Source organism: Homo sapiens, chromosome 1, assembly GCF_000001405.40.
Source record: "Homo sapiens chromosome 1, GRCh38.p14 Primary Assembly".
NCBI lineage: Eukaryota > Metazoa > Chordata > Mammalia > Primates > Hominidae > Homo > Homo sapiens.
In genome coordinates, this window is record NC_000001.11 from 149,771,709 (window position 1) to 149,781,716 (window position 10,008).

Consider the following 10,008-nt stretch of genomic DNA (forward strand, 5'->3'; position numbering starts at 1 on the left):
AGCCAACAATGCTTTATTTCTTGACTCTCTTTCTACACCCCTACTGCAAAAGACTAATTTTCCCCAAAGAGGACCTGATTTTGACTGAATTTTAGCCTCTTCCTCTTCCACGTGATAAAGCTGCTAATTGCCTGAGAGAAGACTGCTGAGTTACAGTGTAGAGGGAAGCATACTCAGGGACAATTAGCAACAATTCTGTTTCTGTTAAACCTTATAATTCTTATATCACTACTGCACAGAACTAGACATGGAGCTAGTTTATGTCTCACTGTACCATTTACTAATTTTTTGACCCTGATGAAGTAACTTAACCTCTTGTAGCTTTATCTCATGTACAAAATTGAGACAACAGTAAGATGTTCTCATCTAAGTAAAATGTTGAAATGTTGGAGTGTTCCAGGCTTGTTTAGATAGATGGAAAACACACACACACTCATTCACTCTCTCTCTCTGTTACTCTGTCTTTCCAATAAGTCTTGTTTTCACTTCTTAAGAATCAGCCTAGAGGTGACTGGAGGAAGAGAAACTAAGTTGTGGTGACAAAGAACAAGACTATGAGTAAGGATCACTATTACCCTTACAGACTGGATAAAACCCTAAGAAACAAAATCATTGTGCAAAACCTTTCAGGCCAGGCGCAGCTGCTCATACTTGTAATCCCAGCACTTTGGGAGGCCAAGGTGGGAGGATCACTTGAGCCCAAGAATTCAATGCCAGCCTGGGCAACATAAGAAGACCTTGACTCTACAAAAAATATAAAAATTACCCAAGCCTGGTAGTGCATGCCTGTAGTCCCAGCCACTCAGGAGGTGGGACGATCGCTTGAGCACGGGAGGTCAAGCCTGCAGCGAGCCATGATCATGCCACTGCACTCCAGCCTGAGAGACAAAGCAAGACCCTGTCTCAAAAAAAATTTTTTTCAAGGAATAGAACCACTGCACATGCTCCTCCTGATCCCCCAAAGTGTAAGATTTTCATGCAAATAGCTATCTCCCAGGACTTACATTAGTAAGGTATCTGGATATAAAAATCAGTGTTCCCTAAATCAGCTGTGTTTCCATTATATCAAAAATAAACTTTTAGAAATTACCATTTGAATTAACAAAGATACACACACACACACACACACACACACACACACGCACACACCTAGAAAGAAATCCCGTAAGATTTGTGCAGGGCATTTATGAAGAAAACTGTGCAATTTATGGGAAGTTATTAAGAAAGACCACATAATTTAATAGATACATTAAGTTTATGGTTTAGAAGACTCAATGTCATTAAGTACAAATTTTCTTCAAATTTGTTTACATATTCAATGTAAATCATCTAAATCCCAACAAATACTAAGAAAGCTGACAACTTGATTCAATGTGTACATTAATGAGCAAAAATCCAAGAATAACTATGAAAATCCTGAGATGATTAAGGAGATGTGCACTACCATATATAAGGATGTATTATAAAGCTATAATATTAAGACAATGTGGTATTGAGACAAAGATAAGCAAATTGCTGGTCAAATAGCCTAAGCTCTAAAAACACATATATATGAAACTTTGTGATAGAATTGTCAGTTCATATCAAAAACAGGATGATTAGGTCTTTTAAATGGTACTGACACAACTGCTTATACACAAGGGAAAAAAAAGAAATTAGATACCTGCTTCACATCACCTACAGACATGGACTTAAGACTTAATTGTAAAAGGCAAAACTTTAATACTTTTAGAAGAAAATACTTTGGAATCAGCAAAGATTTCATAAGCAAGACAAAAATACTAATCATAAAATAAAATACTGACAAATTAAACCTCATCAAAATTAAGAACTTTTGTACATGAAAAGACAACATAAAGAAAGTCAGGAAATGAGTTGCCAATCAGAAAAAAATAATTTCAACAGAAGTAAGCCATGAGGGTTTGTATCAGACTAAATTTTTAAACCTTTATAAACCAATAAGAAATAGACAAAAGTGCCCACTATGAACAAAATAAAAGCCACAAACAGATATTTCATGGAAGAAACTGCATAAATGGTAAATTAACATATGAAAAAGGACTCAACCTCATCAGTAATCAGGGAAATCTAAATTAAGTCTACCATAGAGTACTATTTTATAACTACAAAAATGGAAATGGGGACTAAGAAGTCTTCTTACATTATATAAACCAAAAATAAAATTGTAAGACCCCCCAAGCATCTTAATGGACCCCTCCTCTTGGCCAAGGGCATTCCAAAGTGAACCTGAAAAACTAGTTCAGGCCATGATGGGAAGGGGGAGCTGAACATGCCTCATCATACCCTCCTCCCTTTTGGAATTACTGGTAGAACAGACTCTAAGTCTGATAAAAAAAAAAAAACATTTACAATCTATTCTCTCTGAAGTCTGCTGCCTGGATACCTGGAGGCTTCATCTGAATGACAAAACCTTCGTCTCCACAACCCCTTATCACAAGCCAGATATTCCTTTCTATTGATAATAAGGAATTGCCAATCAGAAAATCTTTGAATCTGCCTATGACTTGGAAGCCACCTCACCCCTGCCTGCTGCTTCCAGTTGTCCTGCCTTTCCAAACTGAACCAATGTACCTTTTACATGTATTGATTGATGTCTTATGTCTCTGTAAAATGCATAAAACCAAGCTGCATCCTGACCACCTTGAGTACATGTTCTCAGGATCTCCTGAGGGCTGTGTCACAGGCCATTGGTCACTCATATTTGGCTCAGGATAAATCTCTTCACATATTTCACAGAGTTTGACTTTTTTGTTGACAAATACTAAGTGTTGACAAGGGATTTAGTGACATAGAAATCCTTATATCCTATTAATGACAGGGCAAAGTAGTATAGCCATGTAGAAATTAACTTGGCATCATCTTATAAAATTAAAAATTTACACATCTATAACACCTTATTTTTCTTTCAGTACCTTTTAAAGATGTTGTTGCTACATTGTCTTCTCACTTGCATTATTTCCAACAAGAAATCTGATGTTTTCTTTGTGCCTCTGTGTGTAGCATGTCTTTTTATCTCCGATCACTTTTGAGATTTTCTCTCACTAACTTTCAGTAATTTGATTATTAAATCTTTATGCTGTTTTCTTCATGGTTTTTGTTGTTTGGGGGGTGTTTTTATTTGTTTTTGTGCTTGGGGTTCATTGAGAATCTTGGATTTATAAATTTATAGTGTAGGGGAGAAAAAATAATTTTTCTTCTACCCTTCTGAGTTCTCAGCTGGGACTTTTATAACAAGATAGATTAACAAGAGAAAAGCAGATAATCAGGGAAAAATGAGTAACTCTCAAAGAGGTGGCCTAGAATTTTGGCTTATGTAGCATCTTCAACTAAAAGAAAGAAAGAAGGGTGTTGGGAAAGCAAGCTATGGGAAAGTGTTCAGGAAAATCAAACAAGAGTAAGGTTTATTATGCAGATTTAAATTGGTGCCTTCTCCATTGGTAAGAGCCTTTTGTGATTTAGTCCTCCTTCTTTTCCCAGCCCAGAGAGGGAGATAGCCTTAGAAATGGAGATTTCTTTTAAAAATGTAAATTTCCCTTACAGAAGGGTAACTTCTACTGTGTTTTTAGAATTCTCCTGTGTCTACTGTTTCTCAAAATAATCCTTATGCCAAAAAGTCATATTTTAGGGTGGCACATGCCTGTCTCCTACAAGTTTTCATCAAGTTTGAAAACTTTTTGGTCATTCTTTGTTCAAATATTTTTTCTATCTGTTACCAGGAAGGGGTCCCAATCCAGACTCCGAGAGGGTTCTTGGATCTCATGCAAGGAAGAAGTTGGAGTGAGTCCATAGAGTAAAGTGAAAGCAAGTTTATTTAAGAAAGTAAAGAAATAAAGAATGACTACTCCATAGGCAGACCAGCCCCAAGGGTTACTGGTTGGCTATTTTTGTGGTTATTTCTTGATTATATGCTAAACAAGGGTTGGATTATTATTCCTTTCCAGGAAAGGGGGGGTGCAATTCCAGGAACTGACAGTTCCTCCTCTTTTTAGACCATATAGTGTAATTTCCTGATGTTGCCATAGCACTTGTAAACTGTCATGGTGCTGGTGGGAGTGTCTTTTAACATGCTAATGGTTATAATTAGCATATAATGAGCAGTGAGGACGATCAAAGGTCACTTTCATCACCATCTTGGTTTTAGTGGCTTTTGGCCAGCTTCTTTACCATATCCTTTTATCAGCAAGGTCTTTGTGACCTGTTCCTTGTGCTGACCTCCTATCTCATCCTGTGACTAAGAATGCCTTAACCTCCTGGGAATGCAGCCCAGTAGGTCTCAGCCTTATTTCACCCAGCCCCTATTCAAGATGGAGTTGCTCTGGTTCAAACGCCTCTGACATATCCACCTTCCTCTTTTTTCAAGGACTCCAATTGTAACGCTAAAGATTTTTGCCTTAGCCAGACCAAAGAATTGGTGTGGCGGCTGCCCGTGGCGATGGAAACACGGACCAAGAGAAAAAAGGCTGTAGGCTTTATTGAGCAGAGTGACAGTACAAAGCTTTTCAGCGTGGAAGGGGTTTCGAGCGGGTAGTCAGAGGTCGATGATGCAGTTGCTTTTGAAACTCTTTAAGGCGGGAAATACGTGTAGAGGGAAGATGTTACCAGAGCGAGAAACAAAGGCAGTAAATTATTTTGTGACATGTCTTAGATTTTGAGGAAAACCAGAATTGTAACTTAGGTTTTATTTATTTTATGACCTTGCAGCAGCATGGCAAAGGAAACAATCTTACAGGACTTTATAAAGTATGTTTACAAGGAATTGGAATTGGGAGTATAGATAAAGTTCGCTGGTCATAGAAAAACAGGCATTTAATATTCCTTTTAGTTTTAGGGGAGGGGGAAGGGAGAGAGGGAGAGAGGACACAGGGAAGCTTACAGCAAAATTTTTGCTGTTTATAGCTTTTTTTGGGAAGAAAACACATGCACAAATCCTGGTGTTAGGAATATTTTAAGCATATATCTTTAATATTATTCATTCAGGACCGAAGTAAGTTCTGATGCAGAAAATGAGTGAGTTTTACAGCTTTCTGAGCCCGTTTGACTCAGGAAGCCCAGCTGGCCCCCTCCTTTCAAAATTACACATATATTAGGCCACTTGAAGTTGTCCCACACCTCACTGATGCTCTTTTCATTTTTTTTTAACCCTCTGTTTCATTTTGGATTGTTTCTATTGCTCTGTCTTTGCATTCATTAATCTTGTTTTCTGTGGTCTAATGTGCTCTCAATCCCATCCAGCATACTGGTATTCATCTCTAGAAGTTGGCTTTTAGTGTTTTTCTATTTTCCATGTCTTAATTGAGGTAAGACCCTTCTGGGTTCTCTATCACATGCCTTGTGAATTGTGCTCTCCTTTTTTGGGAACTGGCACTATTTCCAGCCCTGTGTGACTGTTGGGTACTGTTCTAGCTAATGCTTTCAAGTGGTTCTTTCCTGGGGTAGTTTTTTCACACACATGCACCTGTGAAATTAAAAAAAAAAAGAAGAAGAAACTTTTTATCTGAGGAATGTGAGCCCCTTTAAATTATCAGGCTCGGAGAGGCATTGGAATGAAACTGCAGTCACATCACTCCCCCTTGAGTGATTATCTTGTAAAGCCACTTGCTATACGGGCTCCAGACTAACTGATGCCAAGCAGCCATAAAATACCATATGCTGGACACCACGACTCATATCCTATAGTTCAACAGTGTATAACCAATAACTAATCCATGTCATCTCTGTAAGCCAATGAAAATTTCTATCAAAGAACTTTGTATCCATCCACTTCTTCTTACCTTTGCCTTTAAAAACCTGCTTGTAACAAAAGCTGATTGAGCACTCCCTGAGTTAACTTGGAAGTGTGTCCTGGGCAGCTGTGCTCACTTTGGCTCAAGTAAACTCTTTAAATTATATCTTGTGCTTCAGCCCCTTCCTTCTAGATCAGCACACTGATTACTACTCTGCTGAATACTTGGTGGGGACCCTCAGCAGATCTCTGGAATTCTCTCTGTGTGCAGCTTTTTCATTTCCATTTCTTGGATCCATGAGCTCTAGCCACCTTGGTCTCTCCAGACTCAGCTCTGTCTCCTCAATTCTGGGACTCCACTGGGACCTGCCTGAGTTCCCCTGTACCACAGCCTGGAGACCCTCTCAATGCAGTAGGTGAGGCAATTGCAGGGCTCATCTTTTTTCTTCCGTATCTCTCAGGGGTGACTGTCTTTTGTTGCCTGATGTCCACAGTTTCAAAAAACATTGTTTCATGTATTTTGTTCTTTTGTTTAATTTTGTTTAATTTTGTTTCAGGTGAGAGGATAAATCCAGTCTCTGCTACTCCATCTTGGCTGGAAATCTGGTATATCATTAATAATATTCTTGTTGTTAATTTGGGTTGTGGGTTTATAAATGTTCATTTTCTTATTTTGCATCATTAACCATATACACATATATATTACACATTTTTTCATTTGCGTAAAATATTAGTCAACTTTTTTAAGTTCTAAAAGAAAGTGAAGAGCCCTGGGGCGGAACAAGGGCAAAGAAGTAGGAAGAGTCTGTGGCCAACCTCTTAACTCACGTACCTTTCTGACCCCTCTACCTCTTCTACCTAGAGCCCTCCATCTCAGCCAGCTCCCCCTGTCCTTGTCACCATGACTCTGAAGGTGCCTTTCTGACACACCAAGATGGTCAAGGAAAAATGGTGCTGGGTTAGGTGACAGGGAAGATCATGAGCTTTCATACTTTATGATCTGACAAGCCACTGTAGCCTCTCACATTTATACACTAAGTGAGGGTCTTTCAGAATAGCGCTTCAGTGTCTGCACCTGACTCACACTATTAGGCAGTTAAAAGCTGGGGAATGAGCTCATGTGAAGAGTTTTTCCATTTCAGATGATAGCTATTTTTAGGAACACAAGCTACATAAATGTTTTAACCCTTTTCCCATCCTTTTCCTCTTGCTGCTGTGATACAGGAAGAAAATCAAAATGGAGTGACCTTGCTATCTGGGGAAAGATGAAAACTGCATATGCAAAAGCAAACAGACTGAGATTTATAACGAGTTGATCCCTTAAAAGCTTAGGAAAGAATCTCAAGGGCACATAGGAAAATAAGCAAAGGGCTTGATAGACATATTCATGACAACACAAGAAGGTGAAGTCGGGAAGAGGAAATGGACAAGGTCATCCCAAATTGAAATAACTTATAAAAGATAAATTATAATATCTCCAGAAATTAACTGTAAACATTCCTATAAAATCATAGATGATAATTTTTTAAAATAAAAGATTGAGTAGTAAGAATAACTAAGAATAAAAAATTAATGAGTTCCTAGTGGAAACTTAAAATTGAACCACTGGGGGACTTTCTATAATGAATGGCAGTTGAAGAAAAAAATCGGGTAAACTTTATATGAATATTTGAGAAACACCTCAAGCATTAGCAACTACATAAAAGTTATACATTTCACCTGTCCAAGAGCTGTTACAACAGTATACAAAACATATTAAGCAAAATTGTACTATAGACAATTACTTATATGCAATTCTTTACTTAAAATTTAGCAGATACATTTGAATAGTTTCTAAAACACATGATCATCAAAGAAGGAATTGAGTAGGAAATAAAGCATTACTGTTTTTTACTCATAAAGAGATGAAAATAAAATAAATTATTGGTCAATTCTTTATGAGATTTAAATTATCTTAGCATTTATTTGTTTGTTTTTGAGACAGGGTCTTGCTCTGTCACTCAGGCTACAGTGCAGTGACACAATCACAGCGCACTGCAGCCTTAACCTCCCAGACTCAAGCAATCCTCCTGCCTCAGCCTCCCAAGTAGCTGGGACCACAGGCATGAACTACCATGCCCAGCTAATTCTTTTTATTTTTAGTAGAGACAGGATCTCACTATATTACCCAGGTCAGTTTCAAACTCCTGGGCTCAAGCAATCCACACACCTTGGCCTCCCAAAGTGTTGGGATTACAGGCATGAGCCACTGCACCCAGCCTATCTCATCTTTTAAAAAAAACATATCAAATAATTGTTCATAAATCATTTTCTGTAGTAGAGAGCAATTTTTCTTAAAATTGGCAAATAAGATTTTGCATCTACCTTTGAGAAAATTGTATTTGTAAAGTGATTTTAAAAGAATGAAGCCTATGAGTATGATGGCATTATAAAAGTATCAGTGGCCAGGCGCAGTGGCTCATGCCTGTAATCCCAGCACTTTGGGAGGCTGAGGCAGGCGGATCACAAGGTCAAGAGATTGAGACCATCTTGGCCAACATGGTAAAACCCCGTCTCTACTAGAGATACAAAAATTAACTGGGCATGGTGGTGTGCACCTGTGATCCCAGCTACTGGGCAGGCTGAGGCAGGAGAATTGCTTGAACCTGGGAGGTGGAGGTTGCAGTGAGCCAAGATCGTGCCACTGCACTCCAGCCTGGGTGACAGAGCGAGACTCCATCTCAAAAAAAAAAAAAGTATTAATATATGGAAATACAAATGTCATATATAGATGTAAATTCTCCTAATTGTTCTTCTGAGCATCATGATTTTTTTCCATGAATTTTTATTTTAAGTTCCAGGGTACATGCGCGGGATGTGCAGTTTGATTACATAGGTAAACGTGTGCCATAGTGATTTGCTGCACAGATCAACCCATCACCTAGGTATTAAGCAAAGCATTTATTAGCTCTTCTACCTGACATTCTCCCTCCCCCAACCCCACCCGACTGGCCACAGTATGTGTTGTTCCCCCACCATGTGTCCGTGTCTTCTCATCGTTCAGCTCCCACTTATAAGTGAGAACAGAGCATCATGATTTTCATTGTCCATCAAATGCTAGAAGACTACTCTGCTTTTGTTACTATGTTTGCCCCATTTTTCTAGCTCTTCTTACATGAATTTAAACCTACATCAATGGCTATTTCCTCAACATTTGGAAACAACAATACTTATTAGAAAGAAAGTATTTTATCCTTCCAGGCTATAGATCTTACATTCCTCTTACACAACAATCCTAATTCCCTCATGTTATCCTGATCAATGAAATGATTTCACTTATTTTTCAAAGAAGTAGCTATTTTACTACAAAGCAGGAATCGCAAGGCATGGGGTGGGCACTGTTATACTCCATCAGTGAGTACGTAAAGGAAATCAAACTGTCTGATTTTGAATCCTGCTTCTATTTTTTACAACCTTGGACAAATTACTGATTTCCTCTTTCACTAGGTTTATCATTTGTAAAATGGAGATACTAGTGTCTACTCATGGATTATTGTGAGGCTTAAATAAGAAAACATGTATCAAGCATATTTGTCTGGCATGTAATAAGCACTCTAAAATTTATGCAGTGATGAGGATAATGATCATAGACAATCTGATAGCATCTTATCCAAAGGAAAAAATGCGCATTTCCTTTGAGTAAGCACTACTGATTCTAGGAATGTGTCCTAAGGAAAAAATAAGTCAAATGTTTAAAGGTAGTCACAAGACTATTTTGGTAGTAAGCAGTCTTTTTTACTGGTCACACAGTAAAAAATTAGAAATAACCTACATGTTCATGAAGAGAAGTTGGTGAAATAAATTATGGTACATGCATACAGTAGAAAACTTTGGAGACAAAATAGTAAAATAGTTACAGATATAGGCTTTGAATATAAATTTTAACAAGCTGAGGCTTCTCTCGTCTCTTCAGAACACCCTGAGTTCTTCCCGGCCTTTCTTCCTTGCTTTTCATTTGTGTCAGTCAGCTCTTGCTCGTATAGCAATCCTCAAATCTCAGTAGCATATAAAGGTAAGCATTTAGTTCTCACTTACAAGTTTGCAGGGCAGGTGAGGCAGCTCTGCCTCAAGCCACAATGTCTAGGACAGCTCTGTTTCGCACTGTGGCTGACTAGCTAAAAAATGTTCTTGTCTCAGCAATCACAGGAGAACAAGAGGGTGAGAGATAATGTGTGAAGCTTCCTAAGTGCTAAGTTTGAAATTAGCACCATGTCATTTCCATTCAC

General features: G+C 38.2%; 1 long non-coding RNA gene across 2 annotated transcripts in view, besides 1 other annotated feature; it reads left to right on the forward strand.

Annotated features, from left to right (window-relative positions):
- The window catches only part of LOC105371406 (uncharacterized), a 45,129-nt gene extending 38,094 nt beyond the window's left edge, over positions 1-7,035 (forward strand). Inside the window, exons 3-4 of one of the 2 annotated variants that reach the window (XR_007066595.1) lie at positions 6,301-6,349; positions 6,968-7,035. This is a non-coding gene — a long non-coding RNA (uncharacterized LOC105371406). Of the gene's footprint in view, positions 1-5,922; positions 6,014-6,300; positions 6,350-6,967 lie in introns of those variants that run through there. The other variant, XR_007066596.1, reaches the window with a different exon arrangement.
- Positions 2,414-2,614: a silencer, noted in NCBI's record as "peak406 fragment used in MPRA reporter construct". NCBI's record gives its function as "represses an SCP1 promoter by STARR-seq MPRAs in K562 erythroleukemia cells {active_cell/tissue: K562}" and the evidence as "EXISTENCE:reporter gene assay evidence [ECO:0000049][PMID:32103011]".